Source organism: Homo sapiens, chromosome 7 (genome assembly GCF_000001405.40).
Source record: "Homo sapiens chromosome 7, GRCh38.p14 Primary Assembly".
Taxonomy (NCBI): Eukaryota; Metazoa; Chordata; class Mammalia; order Primates; family Hominidae; genus Homo; species Homo sapiens.
The window spans coordinates 19,577,944-19,597,917 of NC_000007.14; the positions used below are offsets into that span (position 1 = coordinate 19,577,944).

The window sequence follows — 19,974 nt, forward strand, 5'->3', positions numbered from 1 at the left end:
TTTCCCTGAGAATATATTTGACTCTTACCAAGTGAGACTGGAAGATACTAACAGAAAAATCCAGAAGTGTGAATGAAAAGTCTACTGATTATTCCTCATTTCTTCAGAAATACACTTCTTTTTAATTACCCAATAGTAAGTCAATAAATGACTGTTAATTCCTTGTTTCTTCTCTAATAAGCAGACATTGTTGAACTTAAAACTGTCTTTTCTTCTCGAACTTTTAGGTTGCATCTAAACTTCAGGCTACAACAGACAACTTATTATTTGGTGTCATGCTAACCATTTTTTTTCTGATAGTAATTTTCCTTTAGCCTCTGTACTGAATCTTAAGATGTCCAGAATATCTGGACCATGTCAGGGTAAGATATCTTCTGTTTTGCCATTTAGATGAGTGACATATTACCTCCAAGTCTACTCTTACTGAAAGAATCTAATAATCTACGTTTATTTTAATTAGCTCATTTTACTGTAAGATATTACTTTGCATACTTTTAGGAAATATATACTCATGTTTGGTTCCCTTCCTATCATATCCTTCAAATGATCTCAAATGACCCGCATCCTTTCTTGTGCATCATACAGAGAAATCACCGAGGACTGGAAGTTGGCTGATAGAACTGACATCAGAAAGACCATTCAAAACGAAGAGCCAGTGTCAAGATCCTGTATACCCTTCCTGTCATTACTCCCAAAGTAGCCTTTTCATGGATCCAGGTAACACTTGAGCCCTCAATCCAAGATTAAAAACATCTGCTAGAGAAATTGTCAAAGAGTCTTGGGACACTTAGTCAAATTCACAGGGACTCCATCTGGGACTTGTGATACTTGCTGCTTTCGTATCTTTAATTGTTTCTAGCGCCTCCATAGATCAAAGTTCTCCTGTAATGTGTTCTTTCCATCATGCCATATTTACCCATTTTATATCAAAATATATAATCTTTACCATCTGTTTTCATAAGGGAATATAAATCTTTATCAAACTAGATTAACATTAAGTAACAATTCTCAGCTACGTGTGACTGTATTTTGTTCTTATGTGCAAATTTCAGAAAATAATCCCCTCTTTCATGGCATACTTTAAATTTAGAAACAGGCTTCCTGGGTTTTTCTAACTATGGAGTATTTTTACATGTTTCATTGTTCCTGAATTTCAACGTTCAAAGAAAGTAATTTTTGAAATCTTCTGTACTATAATAATATATATTGCTCTTACAACACATATCATACAATCTTGGTTATAATTTTGTACTTGTTTGCAAATCTATGTCATGTCGTGAAACTATAAACAACTGCAAGTCACTATTGAGTTTTAAAAATGTTTACACTTGGTCTACTGTCTGATTCATAGTAGATAATAAATTATTGATAACATAATAAATTGTTATTTTATGCTTAATAAGGATTATGTTAAAGTAAAAGTTGTGTTAAGATGAAAAATAGTAAATTAGCTAAATGTGACAGAACACTAAATAATAGAAGGCTAAAATTATTACACATATACAGAAATATGTAATAACCTGATTTATACAAATTAATGTATCACTGTTATTCATAAGCTCCTATAAAACATTATTTATATTTATATTTTTATACTCTGTTTTTATGACACTGTTTACACTTTCCTACTATTGTACATCCAATATACTCTGTTCTCTTGCACACCATGTAGTAGCTTACTGCTTTTATTCTTTCATTCCTTTTACCATGCAAACAGTGAGGGCCTTTAAATTGGATAATGTATTATTTATGAAAGGTATATGATGTCTAAATCTCAAAATATGTGTGCCATTAATTTATATATAATCTCAAGTTTCTAATGGGCTAAGGTGAGTTATTTTTGAAAGTAAAAATGAAGTTATTAATCACCATTGTATTACTCAGGATTCTCCAGAGAAACAGAAATAATAAGATAGATAGATAGAGATAGATAGATAATTAGATAGATAGATAGATAGATACACTAGATAGAAAGAGTAAGATATAATATGAGGGAGTGGCTTGCCTAATTATGGAGTCTGAGGAGACTATCCACTGTCTACAAACTGGAGATCCAGGTAAGCCAGTGCTATCATTTCAGTCCAAAATCCTGAGATTCAGAGCAGCCAATGGCATAAGTCCAGGTCCATGTCCAAAGGCCCAAGAACCAGGAATGCCTATTCTTAAGGACAGAAGAAAATGGATGTCTCAGCTCAAGCAGAGAGCAAATTTTTCCTTCTTAAACCTTTTTGTTCTATTCAGACCTCAATGGGTTGGATGATGCCCACCCATGTCAGGGAGGGTGACCTTCTTTATTCCATCTACAGATTCACATGCTAGTGCCTTCCAGAAACACCCTCACAAATACCCCAGAAATAATGCTTTGCCAGCTGTCTGGGGTTCCCTTATGTGTCAACCTGACTGCTTCCCCAGTCAAGCTGTGACTAAGATAATTTTATATTCTCTCTAATCTCCAACACTGGAAAGTAAGCATGGACCTGAGAAACAGTTTTAAATAAGGAAATCCTCCTATAAAAATAGTTTTGGTTTTAGTAGATTTAACCTTTTCCTTCACTTTGGATAGTTACCAATTCTCTAATCCTAGTGTTAAAAGTAACACCTCAAACTGGTTCTCTCATCCAAGACTAAATAAATATGTCTATCTAGGGCAAAGACCTCTTCCAAGGAGCACATCATAAATTCTAAATATGCCCCATCTTTTCTTCTGTGATGACCACTTCTATATGCCGTTATGAAGAACGAACTAATTTTAACGTCAGCTTTGAAAAAAATATCATTTCTTGTGATGGCATCTTTTCTAATGAACTTCAAACAGTGAAGTATTCTAAGAACAAATTCCAAGGCAATGTTGTAGGACTCTATGGAAAGAAATGGGAAGAAATATTTTACTATAAGACCATGATATTACATCAATTTTTGTTAAAACTAGAGCTCCAGAGGTTTTGGGATTTTGCTATATTTACATTGATATAATGAAGGGAAACATTTATGTTTGGATCATTAAATTTACGAATACATAGTTGTCTAAAAGAGCAAAGTAATTTTTAAATATCTAGAATGGTACTCTTCCATCCCTTGAATTAACTGAGGTTGTACAAAGTGCCTGACAAATGAAAACAATATTGAAGTGGGAATCCAAACATTTATGTTTTAATACAATATCTGATACTAAGTAGAAATATTTATCATCAGCAATACATTAAATTTTTTCTGGGCCTCATAAGTAAAATTAAAGAATTAAACAACACAATTTCTTAAGTTCCTTTAAACATTAACATTCTATGAGCCATGACAAAAAAGAAAACATTTAGATAATAAGTACTCTAGCCAAAAACCACATGAAACAGTAGGGCATCTCCCCAAACCCTACTAGTAAAAGCTAAGTGGGGTGTCTAGAATTCACCTGCCTGAGGTTGCAACGAGGCACCACAACTCCCCACTGTGTGATGTCAAGAAAAGCCACATAGAGAACTGGGACTTTCATCTTTATTGGCCATTAGTGAGCCATCACTCCAAGCCTCAGTATCAGCAGAGGGCAAGAGTGGAGCCTTTTCATCCACACTCACCCAGCAGTAACAAGGCACTTCTTCACCTTCCCATTGGAGTGGAGTCAGTGGAGACCTAGGGGAGAGTTAGGACTTTCACAATAGATACCCCATGCAGCATAACTAGAAGCTAGCTCCTGTCTTGTGTCAATGGAAGATGAGTGGAGAATGTTGCCTTTACCACCAACTAACATTAATGATGCAGAGGTCCCTCTTCCCCTGCCAGAGAAGTGCTAATGAAAGTTTGCTAAAACTGAAGTTTTAAATAAGACCCAGAATCTTAGAACATATCACAAAAATATCCAAGTTGCAATCGAAAATTACTTGTCACACCAAGAATGAGGACAATCTCATACTGAATGAAACAAAAAATCAGAAGATATTAACAGAAATACTACACAGGTGTTAGAATTATCTAATAAATATCTTAAAGGAGATGTCATAAAAATGCTTCAGTGGGCAATTAAAATCACACTTGAAACCAATGAAAAATTCAAGTCTCAACAAGGAAATAGAAGATATAAAGAACTACATGATAATTTTACAACTGAAAAATATACCTGAAATTAACAGGCCAGTGAATAAATAGCCTTCATAGTAGACTGGAGGGGTCTGAAGAAAGCACTATAATTGAAATTACCCAATCTGAGTGAGAAAGAGCAAATTGGCTGACCATAAATGAACAGAGCCTCAAGGACCTTGGTGATCATAACAAAATATCTAATATCCTTCAAAGTTTTAGAAGAGAAGAGAGGGCAGGTCTGAAAAAATTACCAAAGAAACAATGTCCAGAAACCTTCAAAATTTGGCAAGAGATAAAAACTTAACAAGTTCAAGGTACTATATATAAGACCCAAATATGATAAACACAAAGTAATCGATGACAAAGCACATCACAATTAAACTACTGAAAATTAAAGACAAATCTAGAAAGCAATCAGACAAATATAATGCCTTATGTATCGGATTAACCAGATTGATGAGATTTTTTTAATCAGAAACCATGGAGATGAGAAGAAAATGACAACAGTATATTTCAGGTGCTACAGGAAAAGAACTGTCAGCTCAGAATTCTATAGACAGTGAATATACCATTCAGGAATGAAAGGGAAATCAAGAGGAAGAAAAACTAAAATAATTAGTCCCATAATTTTACCCTAAAATAATGGCTAAGGGAAATTCCCTAAACAGAAAGGTACAAATGAAAGAAACTTAGAATTCCAGGAAGAACGACAGAACACAGTAAGCAAAAATATGAGTACGTACAGTAGGCTTTTATTTTATCTTGGGTTTTCAAAATGCTGTTTGATGAATGAAGAAAGAAATAATTTACCAAATATCTCTATAGAGTCAGAAAATATTTAAGATAATTATGTTACAAATGGGAGAGACATAAAGGGAGATAAATTTCTATACTCAAACTGGTAAAATAAGGACATCAATAAACTGTGGTAAGTTATACACATATATTGTAATGCCTGGAGCAACCACTGCAAAAATCTTTACAAAGAGATGTAGTCCATTATATAGATAACTTCAAAATAACATTCTAAAAAGGTGTTTACTGAACTCAGAGATCATGAAAAAGACAAGGAAGTGAAAAACAGAACAAACAAAAACAAAATGGCAAACTCGAACCCTAACATATCAATAATTACACTAAATGTGAATAGTCTAAATTCACCAATTAAAAAATGAAAGTTGACACATTGAATTAACCACCCAACTATAGGCTGTTGACAGTAAAGTCACTTCAGATATAGTGACATATTCAGGTTGAGAGTAAAAAGGATGGAAAATATATTTCATAGAAATATTAATCAAAGGAAAGCAGGAGAAGCTATGTTAATATCAGACTTCAGAGCAAAAAATAAAAAATTACCACATGGAGTTTATACAATTATAAAAGGCTTAAGTTACAAAGAAGATGTAGCAGTGCTAAATATGTATGCACTATGCAACAGAGTTATTAAATGTGTAAGGAAAAAACCCAGAATTGAAAGAAAAATTATTAATAGAGAAATCCACAACTGTATCAGAGCAAGGTCTAGGCAATAAGTTCCCAAACTTAACACAACAAATGCAATTCATAAAAGGAAAAACTGGTAAATTAGACTTAACCAAAACTAAAAAATGCACATTTCTACAAAACACCGTGTTCAGAGTATTAAAAAATAAGGTATAGACTGGGAAAAAATATTTGCTAACCACATATCTGACAAGAGAACAGTATCTAGAATACAGAAGGAACTCTCATAATTAAACCTAAAGAGTAGTGGGGAGGTAGGTTTGGTTAACGGCTCCAAAAATTAGAATGAATGAATAATACCTACTATTCAATAGCACAATAGGGCGACTATAGTCAATAATAGCTTAATTGTACATTTTGAAATAAAGGATGTAATGGGATTATTTGTAACTCAAAGGATAAATGCTTGAGGGAATGTATACCCCCTTCTGCATGATGTGCTTATTTCACATTGCATGCCTATATCAAAACATCTAATTTACCCCATAAATATATACACCTACTATGTACCCACAAAATTTAAAAATTAATTAATTAAAAAAAGAAAATGGTTCAAACCATGAAAAGACATTTTACTGAAGAGGGATATATACTTGGGAAGTAAGCACATAAAATGATCTTCAGCATCACAAGTCATTAAGGAAATGTAAATTAAACCAAATTGATATATTATTGTATACCTATTAAGATGGCTAAAATAGAAATAGTGGCAATACCACATTCTAGAGAGAATAAGAGAAACTGGATCACTAAATATATTGCTGGTGAGAATGAAAGTGGTACAACCACTGTGGAAAATGTGTTTGGTACATTCATAAAGAACTAAGCATGCAGCTAACATAAAACCAGAAATTGCAATCCTAGACATTTATCTCAGAGAAATGAAGATTTCTGTTCACACAAAATCTGTACATGTTTATACTAGTCTTATCCATAATATACAAAAATTGGACACAACCCAGTTGTCTGTTAATGAGTGAACACTTAAATTGTGATACATCTATACCATGAAATACCACTCAGCAAAAAAATGAGCAAGATAATGATAAATGCAGCAAACTGAATAATGATCCACAGAATTAGGCTATAAGGGTTATATAACATATGAGGCCATTTATATTTCATTGAAATGAAAAAAATTACAGAAATAGAGAACAGGTTAGTGGTTGCCAGAGTTTAAGTTGGGAAAGGCCTGTGGCTATGAAAGTACAACATAAGGGACCCGTGATATTGAAAATGCTGTGTTTTTTGACTGTATCAATGTCAATATTAAGATTGCAATATTGGATTACAGTTTTCAAGATGTTACCATTGGGAAGAATTGGTTAAAAGATACATGAAATCTCTTATTTTTTTTTTACAATAGCATGTGGATATACAATTATCTTTTAAATTAAATGAAAATTTAAAGAGAAAGTTTTGTGTCATTAAAAGCTGGTGATATTTTTCATAAGATTTTTAGCACAAATTAGTAGGTCCTGAAAAAAATTCCATGAGCCTATGATCTTGTGGACAGGGCACAGTTGCTATGTGATCAAAAACAAAAACACTCAATGCTGATATAGAGACTTGTAGCCCCAAATATTCATTATTGGGGCCATCAGTGATCTATTTCATTTGCTACTTATTGAATTCCTTATTCACCTGTGTACCAGTACTATTGGTAAATTAAATGGCTTTTCAACAAGTTAAATTCTGTCATGATTACTTAGAATTCTAATGTGTCTTAAGATTTTAAAGTATACGTTGTCATTTTAAGATTACCTTATTGTAATTAGCAAATTTTCCTGCTAAGTACAGTAAGAGCTAAGTATACTAAACAAGAGAAGACATTCTTGGTTTTATAAATCTCTGCTGCTGCTGCTGTAATTATATTTTGTGGTCTATAGTTGGTTCATTAAACTCTATTTTATTTATTTGTTTTATGGCCTTTATATGTAATCCCAATTGGCCTAAGCTTTTCTAATTATCTCAATATCTAATAGTCTAAAAAATCAATTTATGGAAGACAGGACAGGACACACTGGATTAGGAAATGCTCGTAAGAGGTCAGTATTCATTCTCACAATAAAGTTCATGGACTCCTAATTGTTTAAGGAGACAACCAAGTTAAGATGAGTGAACTACACAAATGTCTGGGAGATAGTCATAGGCAACACTAGTTAAAAGGAAGAGGAAAATGACAGACAGGAGGCAGGATTCAGGACTGTTAAGTTCATTTTGTTGCTAAAGTAAATTTCAGTTTCATTTGACTGTGCACAGTTAAAATGACACAGAACACCATATAAAAGATTTGGGGGTTGGAGAGGCAGAAGCAAGGGATATTCCTAAAGTTATATTTCATATAGTCATATCTTGTTCTTGATCTGTCCTTTTTGCATCCAAATATTTACTCCTCTCTACCCACTCTCTAATAACTGATGTCTCTGGTGGTTGTGCAATAACACAAGGAATGGATGATGCAAAAGGAGGTAGCTGATAGACCTGATAAATGCAGCTATCGCATAACCATCTGGTCTCGTGACTCTAAGGGGGGTCCCTTTCCAAACACACAGTTAGCTGAAGGAAATAGTCAACTTCTTTCCTCCTTCATCCAATACCTTGTATAAAGAAACCTATCCTTATAGATCATAAAGTTTAAGAAATACTAACTTTTTTACTACCCACCACTCTGTCTTTTAGCTGTACTACACTATACCATCTCTATCAAGTGGCAATAACTCCTGTTTTAAAGCATTGCTTATCCTGCTAAAGTTACTCCTTCCAATAATAACAACATGTATTACAGGAAGTTTTTCATTCTACAAATATTTTATATTATGCCTGTTATGGGATGCTAACCATTCATTGTTATTCAATAAATACACAGTAATTGCCAGGAATATCATTTGAGAATTTCAGATAGTGGTTTGTGTGGTTTTTGAAAAAGTCAGTTTAAATCCAGAGTTTTACTTATTATGTTTCTTTTTCTATAATTTATAAAGGGGTACTGCAGAAATTCTAACCACTCTGACAAGATAATTTTGTGTTTTGTTATTTGTATCGTGACACATTGGGAAGAGTTTTACTGATTTTAGCATAATTTGGTTCATTAATAAAGTTTTCAAATTTTATTTATAATGGTACAAATAAACATCTTTTAATATACTGTAGGTGATTTCATTGAAATGTACTAAACAGTAGAAATGACAGTGAGTTTTGGTGATAAAAGTCCACCAATACAAAATGATATTGTAAGGGCTTTCTATACCTTAGTTTTCTTATCTACAAGATGTACAAAAGGCTTTTTAATCAAACCCCTGAAGTTATACCAACCAAGGAGATGGAAGTAATAACATTATACAAGCACAACGGATGAAGCAAGTCCCAGCAGAATACTTACAGTGTATCTTAAGTTCAGAATAAGTGAAATGAAATATGTGGACATGTATATTGGTAAAAATGTTAAGTATTATGAATAATAAATGAAATTTAGAAAGCTATTGCTTATCAGGAAGATAGAATGTGGAAGTACATTTTGGTAAACATTGGTAATTATTACTATGCTCTGCTTCTTGAGTTGAACAGGAGGTTTGTAGCTATTCATTATAGTATTAAATAAATGTAAAAGTAAATCAATAAAATAGTCATACATGGGACAATAATGATGATGAGTTTTGAGTTAAGCATATGATTGTGGAAGGCAGAATTCTAAGATGGCCCCAATATCCCCACCCCTCTGTTATACACATTTTCTTTCATTTATTGAATTAAATAGTAATCTAGGTGGGTCTGTAAAGGGATTTTACAGATATAATGAAAGTCTCACATAAATTGAGTTTATGAGAGAAAGATTATCCTGGACCGGCCCTATCTAATCAGGTGAACCCTTAAAATAAGTCAGAAGGATTAAAAGAGACAGAGATATTCCCTTGTTGGCCTTGAAAGAGCAACCACCATGTCGTTAATAGACTGTGGTTGAGGGATGTGGCAAGGAACTTAGGATGACCTCTAGGGGCTGAGTGTGGTCCCAGGCCAATAGCCACCAAGAAGAAGGGAACCTCAGTCCTGCAACTGCAGAAAACTTCTTCCAACAACCTGAGTAAACCTGACAGAGTACCCCAAATTCCAGATGAGACTCCAGCCATATGGATACCTTGTTTTTAGCTTTGTAAGATGCTAGGAAAGGGTCCATGTACACTGTGCCTGGCGTTTTGACTATAGATGCTGTGAAATAGTAAATGAGATGAGACCAGAACTATAAAGTCCAGACTCATTAGAGGACAAATTTCAGACCAAAAGCAATTTGATGTAGTAATAATGATAAATAACATTCTATTTTGTCTTATTATTATGTTTAGATTATTTTCTTTCTATTATTAAGGGTGTATCTCTAAATGAAATGATTTGCCCACTTTTTTCAGGAGTTAGATATGTTTTTCTTTGCAACAAAACAATGTCATTGCGAGTACAGCCAGACAAAAGTACGCTTCTGAGAAAGGCGTTTAAAGGAACTGCATATCTAGATTTGTCATAACTCAGCACCAGCACCTTGACTCTCATAATCAGGGAGGTTCTATGCTGTCTGGGAACCTATATGCAGCAATTGATAGCAGTTTTTAAATTTAGGACTTGAAGAAATTGACAAGTGGGTATGTTGAAAGTGATTCCCCATATTCAGTTTACTTTGTATTTAAATCACAGTAAGTTATTTTTTAAAAAGGATAATGTTGTATCAGTTCTAATTTCTCCAGCATGGAATTGGTAGGAAGGCTTAGCCAAATTGGGCAGGGAAGTAGTTCATTTCTGTGCCTCCCTTGGTTCTTATCTAAACCTGCCTACTGATAGATATTAGGCTTCCTGCTTCAGGGCCCTAAGTGTTAGGTTTTCTTTATGTAATTAATCTGTCTCAAAGAACTGAGATTTTATAAACTGATTTCTATTGAAGCCTTCAAATATATGCTTTGAAAACTGCTAGCTGTTAATGTGTGATTATGCATCTATTCTTTCTGTGAAATCGGTGTTTTTCTATACCCTGCACTAGCATTAATGTTTATAGAAATATGATTCCTATTTTTAGTATGATTTTTCTTCCACTTTTTTTCTTCTAAGAAAGAAGTTATGAGAGGAGCTTGTTAGACATATTGGGAGGAAGAATTGCTTTCTCCTTGCCACCCAGGTTAGAAGGAGATAGCTACTGTGGAGAGGTAGCAGGCACAGATCCCCTGAAGTTCCTGTAGAAAACTTTACTATTTGTTCCATCGTTAGTAACTGACAGGAACACTATGGCTACCATATTTGCTGGATTTTTTCTTAAAAGACAATCTCACAAATTTCTCCTTTGTTTCGTTCTTATGCCATTTGAAGTAAAAGCAATTATACGTAATACTGGAATTTTAAATAATGATTGAGACTACTGAACAACAGGGCTGACAGAGTAGATACAAGCTTTAACTTTTATCACAAACTTTTGATTACATACAGTACTCCTTAGGTGACTTGGCCTTTTTTTTAGTTTGTTTAACATTTCCAGCGTCTGAGTATAAAACCACCAATGATTTTTAAGAGGAATACTAAAAATCCTAAAATTAGAAAATATGTAGTTGAATACTTACTTGCTCATATAATTTCATATCAGCTTTCAGGATCTGTAAAGAGACACAACTGTTTTACAGTTCGATTGGAACTGGGGAGGAGTTTAAAAGAATCACAGTAAGCCCTCTGGTCTTTTCCAGGAGGATAATCAACAACATTGACTGATTATGTTTGTATGGGTAAGTATGTCTGTTTATAGATAATGTTAGTTCTCCTCCAATGAATGTCTTCTATGTAAATAGACATGAAATTCATACTGTTTGAAGCTGTCTGTTGGTTTAGACTATTCTAAATTGCACTGAGTATATGATGTTGAAACACGCTGATCCCTTTGCAGACCTGTCGCATATTAGAAGGGTTTCCAAAGAAGCTGTCGAGGGAGCTGGGCTCCAGATAAATACATATTAAGAAAAAAATACTAGCTAAGACATTGAGGAAGATTGCACTAGCATTAATGTTTATAGAAATATGATTGCAATTTTTAGTATGATTTTTCTTCCACTTTTTTTCTTCTAAGAAAGAAACTTAAGAAAATAACTGTAGCATGATGCCAACTGCACATTGGATACAGATGGGAATTTCCAAGTAACTCATGCTGTAATTAGAGAAACTTCATAAATAGATAATTCATGTCTAAAAATTTAAAGGGAATCTATTTAAAGAAATTGCAGTTTGAAATGATTTTGTACTGAATAAAGGTTACAATGAGCCGCCAGAAATAGCCCCGGTGAATGAAGCTGTAGGCATTCAGATAAGGGGGGTAAGGGAAGACAGAAATAATGCTAAAACAAAAAATATATATGGTAAATGAATGTAAAGAAGTTGTAGTAAACATTTCAGAATTGCAAGGGGTATGCCAAAATATCAATATATGTATTTGCAAAGAGTTTTATTTTAGGTTCAGGGTATATGTGCAGGTTTATTATATAGGCAAACGTGGGTAATGGGGGTTTGTTGTACAGACTGTTTTATCCTCAGATACTAAGCCTAGTACCCATTAGTGTTTTTTTTTTTCCCTAACTCTCTCCCTCATCTCAACCCCACCCTCCAATAGGCCCCAGTGTGTGGTGCTCTCCTGTATAAGCCCATGTGTTCTCATCATTACCTCCTACTTACAAGTGAGAACATGTGGTATTTTGTTTTCTGTTCCTGCATTAGTTTGCTAAGGATAATGGCCTCCAGCTCCATCCCTGTTCCTGCAGAGAGCATAATCTTTTTCTTATTTTATATAGCTGCATAGTACTCCATGGTGTATATGTACCATATTTTCTTTATACGGTCTATCACTGATGGGCATTTAGGTTGATCCCATGTCTTCACTATTGTGAATAGTGCTGCAATGAACTTACATAGGCATGTATCTTCATAAAAGAATGATTTATATTTCTTTGGGTACATACCCAGTACTGAGATTGCTGGGTTGAATTACCATTCAACCTCTAGGTCTACCATTTCTGCCTCTAGGTCTTTGAAGAATCACCAAACTGCCTTCCACAAGGTCTGAACTAATTTACACTCCCACCAACAGTGTATAAGCATTCCTTTTTCTCTGCAACCTCACCAGTGTCTTTTATTTTTTGACTTTTTAATAATAGCCCTTCTGACTGGTGTTAGATGGTATCTCACTGTGGTTTTGATTTGCGTCTCTCTAATGATCAGTGATATTGAGCTATTTTTCAGATGCTTGTTGGCTGCATGTATGTCTTCTTTTGAAAAGTGTCCGTTCATGTCCTTTGCACACTTTTTAATAGAGTTGCTCGTTTTTTTCTTGTAAATTATTTTAGGTTTCTTATGGATTCTGGTTATTACACCTTTATCAGATACCTAGTTTGCAAATATGTTCTCCCATTCTGTAGGTTGTCTGTTCATTCTATTGATAATTTCCTTTGCTGTGCAGAAGCTCTTTTATTTAATTAGATCCCATTTGTCATTTTGTGGTTTTGTTGCAATTGCTTTTGGCATCTTCATCATGAAATCTTTGCTCATTCCTATGTCCTGAATAGTATTGCCTAGGTTGTCTTTCAGGGTTTTTATAGTTTTGGGCTTTACATTTAAGTCTTTGATCCATCTTGAGTTAGTTTTTGTATATGGTATAGGAAGGGGTCCAGTTTCAATCTTCTGCATATGGCTAGCCAGTTATTCCAGCATCATTTTTTGAATAGGAAGTCCTTTACCCATTGCTTGTTTTTATCAGGTTTGTCAAAGATCAGCTAGTTGTAGATGTGCAGCCTTATTGCTGCATTCTTTATTCTGTTCCATTGGTCTATGTGTCTGTTTTTGTACCAATACTATGATATTTTGTTTACCAAAGGTCTGTAATATAGTTTGAAGTCAAGTAGCACAATGACTGTAGCTTTGTTCTTTTTGCTTATGATTGACTTGGCTATTAGGATTGCCTTGGCTATTAGGGCTCTTTTTTGTTTCTATGTGAATTGTAAAATAGTGTTTTTCTAGTTCTGTGAAGAATTTGAATGGTAGTGTAATAGGAATGGTATTGAATCTATTAATCATTTTGGGCAGTATGACCATTTTTACAATATTGATTCTTCCTATCCATGAGCAAAGAATGTTTTTCCATTTGTTTGTGTCATCTCTGGTTTCTTTGAGCCATGTTTTGTAGTTCTCCTTGTAGAGATCTTTTACCTTCTTGGTTAGCTGTATTCTTAGGTATTTTATTATTTTTGTGGCAATTTTAAATGAGATTGCATTCCTGATTTGGATCTTGGCTTGACTGTTGTTGGTGTATAAGAATATTACTGACTTTTGCACATTGATTTTGTATCCTGAGGCTTTGCTGAAGTTATCAGCTTAAAAAGCTTTTGGGCTGAGACTGTGGGGTTTTCTAGCTATAGGATCATGTTGTCTGCAAACAGGGATAGTTTGACTTCCTTTCTTCCTACTGGGATGCCTTTATTTCTTTCTCTTGCCTGATTGTCCTGACCAGGACTTCCAATACCATGTTGAATAGGAGTGATAAGAAAGGGTATTCTTGTCTTATTCCAGTTTTCAAGGGGATTGCTTCCAGCTTTTGCCCATTCAGTATGATGTTGGCTGTGGGTTTGTTATAGGTGGCTCTTATTACTTTGAGGTATGTTCCTTCAATACCTAGATTATTGACAGTTTTTAACATGAAGGGATATGGGATTTTATCAAAAGCCTTTTCTGCATCTATTGAGATAATCATGTGGTTTTTGTCTTTACTGGTGTTTATGTGATGAATCACATTTATTGATTTGCAGATGTTGAACCAACCTTGCATCCCAGGGATAAAGCCAAATTGATCATGGTGGATAAGCTTTTTGATGTGCTTCTGGATTTGGTTTGCAAGTATTTTGTTGAGTACTTTGCATCAATGTTCATCAAGAGTATTTGCCTGAAATTTTTGTTGTTGTTGTGTCTCTGTCAGGTTTTGGTAGCAGTGTGATGCTAGTTTTGTAGCATAAGTTAGGGAGGAATTCCTTCTCTTCAATTTTTTGGAGTAGTTTCAGCATGAATGGTACCAGCTTTTCTTTGTATATCTGGTAGAATTCATCTGTGAATCCATGTGGTCTTGGGCTTTTTTTGTTGGTAGGCTATTTATTACTGACTCAATTTTAAAGCTAATTATTGGTCTGTTCAGGGATTCAGTTTCTTCCTGGTTGAGTCTTAGGAGGCTATGCATATCCAGGAATTTATTCATTTCTTCTAGACTTTATGGTTTGTGTAAATAGAGGTATTCATAATAGTCTGTGATGGTTATTTGTATTTCTCTGTGGTCAGTGGTAATCTCCCCTTTGTTGTTTCTGGTTGTGTTTATTTGAATCTCTGTTTTCCTCTTTATTAATCTAGCTAGAAGTCTAACTATTTTATTCATTTAAAAAAACAGCTCCTGGATTCATTAGTCTTTTGAATGGTTTTTAATATCTCTATCTTCTTCAGTTCAGCTCTGATTTTGGGTTTTTCTTGTCTGCTGCTAGCTTTGGAATTTGTTTGCTCTTGGTTCTCTAGTTCTTTAATTGTGATGTTAAGTTAACTTGAGAAATTTCTAACTTTTTGATGTGGGCATTTAGTGCTATAAATTTCCCTCTTAACACTGCCTTAGCTGTGTCCCAGAGATTCTGGTATGATGTAACTTTCTTTTTATTAGTTTCAAAGAACTTGTTGATTTCTGTCTTAAATTCAGTATTTACACAAAAGTCATTTAGAAGCAAGTTATTCAATATTCCATGAAATTGCATGGTTCTGAGTGAATTTCCTAGTCTTGACTTCTAATTTGATTGTTCTGGGGTCTGAGAGATTGTTTGTTATAATTTCAGTTTTTTTGCATTTGCTGAGGAGTGTTTTACTTCTGAATAGGTGATCAATTTTAGAATATGTGCCGTGTAACTATAAGAAGAATGTATATTCTGTTGTTTTGGAGTAGAGAGTTGTGTATATATCTCTCAGGTCCATTTGGTCCAGTGCTAAGTTCAGGTCCTGAATATCTGTTAATTTTCTGTCTCAACAATCTGCCTAATATTGTCAGTGGGGTGTTAAATTTTCCCACTATTATTGTGTGGGAATCTAAGTCTCTTTGAAGGTCTTTAAGAACTTGCTTTATTAATATGGGTGCTCCTGTATTGGGTGCATATATGTTTTGGATAGTTAGATTTTCTTATTGAATTGAACCCTTTACCGTTATGTAATGCCCTTCGTTACTTTTTTATCTTTTTTGGTATAAAGTCTGCTTTGTCAGAAACTAGAATTGCAATCCCTGCTTTTTTCTGGTTTCCATTTGCTTGGTAGATTTTCTTCCATCCCTTTATTTTAAAGCTGTGTGTCATTGCATGTGAGATGGGTCTCCTGTAGACAGTATACCAGTGGGTCTGGGTTCTTTATCCACCTTGCTATTCTCTGTCTTTTAATTAAGGCATTTAGCCCATTTACATTTAAGGTTAGTATAGATATGTGTGGATTTGATCTTGTCATCATGATGTTAGCTGGTTATTTTGCAGACTTGTTTATGTGGTTGCTTTATAGTTTCACTGGTCTGTGTATTTTAGTGTGTTTTTAAAGTGTCTGGTAACAGTCTCCTTTTCATATGTAGTGCTTCCTTCAGGAGCTCTTGTAAGGCAGGTCTGGTGGTAATGATTTCCCTCAGCATTTGTTTGGCTGAAAAAGGTCTTATTTCTCCTTCACTTATGAAGCTTAGTTTGGGTGGATATGAAATTCTGCATTGTAATTTCTTTAAGAATGTTGAATGTTGATCCTCAATCTCTTCTGGCTTGTTGGGTTTCTGCTGAGAGGTCTGCTGTTAGTCCGATGGGCTTCCCTTTGTAAGTGACCTTTCTCTCTAGATGCCTTTAACATTCTTTTCCTTTCATTTTAACCTTGAAGAATCTGATGATTATGTGTCTTGAGGATGATCTTCTGTGAAGTATCTTACTGGGGTTTTCTGCATTTCCTGAATTTGAATGTTTGCCTCTCTAGCTAGATTGGGGAACTACTCATGCATGTTGTCTTGAAATATGTTTTCCACGTTGGCTGCGTTCTTCCCATCTCTTACAGGGACACCAATGAGTCGTAGATTCAGCCTCTTTACATAATCCCATATTTCTTGAAGGTTTCGTTCATTCCTTTACAATTCTTCTTTGTCTATTGTTGTGTAACTGCCTTATTTCAGAAAGCCAGCCTGCAAGCTCTGCGATCTTTCCTCCACTTGGTCTATACTGCTATTAATACTTGTGATTGCCTTATGAAATTTTTATAGTGTGTTTTTCAGCTCTGTTAGGTCAGTCACATTCTTTTCTGTACTGGCTGTTTTGTCTGTCAGCTCCTACATTGTTTTATCATGATTTTCATCTTCCTTGCATTGGGTTTCAACATACTCTTGTACCTCAGTGATCTTCATTGCTATCCATATTCTGAATTCTATTTGTCATTTCAGCCACCTCAACCTCGTTCAAAACCCTTGCTGGAGAGGAGATATGGTCATTTGGAGAAAGGATGGCACTCTGGCTTTTTGAGTTTTCAGGAATCTTATGCTGATTCTTCCTCATCTTTGTGGGGTTATCTATCTTCAATCTTTGAAGTTTCTGACCTTTAGATTTTTTTTTCTTTTATCCTATCTGATGACCTTGAGGGTTTGATTGTGGTATAAGGTGAATTCAGCCAGCTTCATTTCTGGAAGATTTTAGGGGGCCAACACTCAGCTCCCAACTCCTGGACTGCATGCTGTAAGTCTTGGGGACTTGTACTGGACCCCAACTTTGTTTCTATGTCTCTTGAAGTCTGAAATCCACTGAACTGTGGGTGGAAGGAGTGGAGGTGCGGTAGCTGTGGCAGAGTGCTAGTGGGTGTCAGGGTGCCTGCCTTCCTGAGGGCATTCACCACAGTGGCAGAAACAATGCTGCTGGGGGTGGGGTAGGAGACTATGGGTGTGGTCATGCTGGAGGTGGCGTTGACTTGGAAGTGGGGTGCTCATGGATACAGGTCTGGGTGCCTTCTCTGTGCCCTGCAAGCAGAAGTGATTGCTCAGGGTGAGGGAGAATCCACTGTTCTGAGCAGTGTTAGTGCAAGGGTGGGGTGCTGGTGGGGTTGAGGCTTTCTGGCTCTGTGTTGCCAAGGCTCTGTCTGCAATGACAGTCGGCAGGGGGTAGACTGCTGGACTGCTGGCAGGGCAAGGAAAGCAAAACCTGCCTGTGCAGACATGCACATGCAAAGTGATGTGGATAGTTGCTGTGTGCCTGGAGGAAGGTGCATTATAGGGAGGGAGCGGACGGACTGGTGTGTGTCCATAGGGCTGCCTCACTGGAGCTTTCTACTGGTCAGGCAAAATCTGCCAGGGCAGAAGCTATGGTGTGGGTCCCCAGGGCACCCAAGACTTCCCAGCAAGCAGGGGTGGCCAGGCTAGGGCCCCAGGAGTGGGCAGCAGACCACGGGGTGCTCAGGTCAGAGCAGCCCCATCTGTTGGGCAAGACTACCCTGCAGAGATCAGGTCCAGCAGTTTCCCTAGGGCTAAAGTCTGCTATGGGAGCAAGTTGAGCCTAGAGGGATGGCTGTCCCTGGCTGTGCTCCACTACTGATGCTACTGCATCAAACCTTCTGGGCTCCACATCAGCTGTCTTGCTGGCCCTACCACTTCACAGAGATATGAAGACGGTGGATTTATTTTACCAGTAGAAATGTCACATGAAATATATAGGAAAGCTTGTATTTACTGAGACATAGTTTCAGACATTGTGGCAGTCTATAGCTAACTACTTTTCTACGTATCTGGTGAGAACAAAGATGTTCTACTTAAATAGAATAGAATGATCAAACTCAGGAAATCTGGCATTGAATATGGATGGTATATTTAATATATGATATGTATTCATATATTCCCAATAATAACAATAGTTTTCTTTATAGCTTGTATTTTTAAAGTAATTTTATATTTTATTTTAGGTTCAGGGAGTATATGTGCATGTTCATTACATGAGTATATTGTGTGATGTCGATATTTGGGATATGAATGATCCTGTAACCCAGATAGTATGCATAGTACTCAACACTTAGTTTATCATTTCTTGCCTCCTTTCTTCCTCCCCACTCTCTAAGTCCCCAATGTCTATTGTTACCATCTTTATGTTCATGAGTACCCAGTGTTTAGCTCCTACTTATAAATGAGAACATGTGATATTTGGTATTCTGTTAATGCATTAATTTTCTTAGTATAATGGCTTCCAGCTGCATCCATGTTGCTGCAAATGTCATGATCTCATTCTTTTTATGGCTCTGTAGTATTCCATGGTGTATACATACCACATTTCCTTTATCTAAACCACCAGTGATGGGCACCTAAGTTCAGTCTTTATCTTTGCTATTGTGAATTACACTACAGTGAATGTACACACTGTATATCTTTTTGGTAGAACAATTTACTCTCCTTTGTATATATACCCAGTAAGGGAATTGCTGGGTCAAATGGTAGCCCTGCTTAATGTTCCTTAAGAAATCTCCAAACTGCTTTTCACAGTAGCTGAACTAATATATACCCACCTACAGTGTATAAACATTCCCTTTTATCTACAACCTTGCTAGAATCTGTTATCTTTTGACTTTTTCTGGTAACCACTCTGACTTGTGTGAGATGATATCTTATTGTGGTTTTGATTTACATTTCTCCGATGATTAGTGTTTATGAGCATTTTTTCATGTCTTTGTTGGCCACTTGTATGTCTACTTTTGAGAAGTGTCTGCCCATGTGTTGCCAATTTTTTAATGAGTTTATTTGTTTTTTGCTTGTTGAATTGTTAAAGTTCTTTATAGATTCTGGATATTAGGCTTTTGTTGAATGTGTAGTTTGTGAATATTTCCTCCCATTCAGTAGATTGTCGCTTTAACCCTATTGATAATATCTTTTGCTGTGCAGAAGCTCTTTAGTTTAATTAGGTCTAACTTCTCATTTGTTTCTGTTTTTGTTGCAATGGCTTTTGAGGACTTACTCATAAATTATGTACCAAGGCCCATGTCCAGAATGGTGTTTCCTGGTTTTCTTCTGGAATTCTAGAAGATTTAGACTTATATCTAAATCTTTGATCCATCTTGAGTTAATATTATATATGGTGAAAGGTAGAGGTCTAGTTTCATTCTTCTGAATGTAGCTAACCAGCTATCCCAGTATCGTTTATTGAATAGAGAATCCTTTCTCTATTGCTTATTTTTGTCAACTTTATCAAAGATCAGATGTCTATAGGTGTGTGGCTTTACTTGGGGGTTCTCTATTCTGTTCCATTTGGTCTAGGTGTCTGTTTATATAACAGTAACATTTGGTTTGGGTTACTGTAGCTTTACAGCACAGTTTGAAGTTGGGTAATGTGATGC

The 19,974-nt window shown here is 35.5% G+C and overlaps 1 long non-coding RNA gene across 1 annotated transcript in view; it reads left to right on the top strand.

The window, feature by feature from the left end:
• The window catches only part of LOC105375180 (uncharacterized), a 93,261-nt gene that overhangs the window by 1,653 nt on the left and 71,634 nt on the right, over window positions 1-19,974 (top strand). The window contains exons 2-3 of the long non-coding RNA XR_007060245.1: window positions 586-717; window positions 11,192-11,327. This is a non-coding gene — a long non-coding RNA (uncharacterized LOC105375180). The remainder of the gene's footprint in view (window positions 1-585; window positions 718-11,191; window positions 11,328-19,974) is intronic.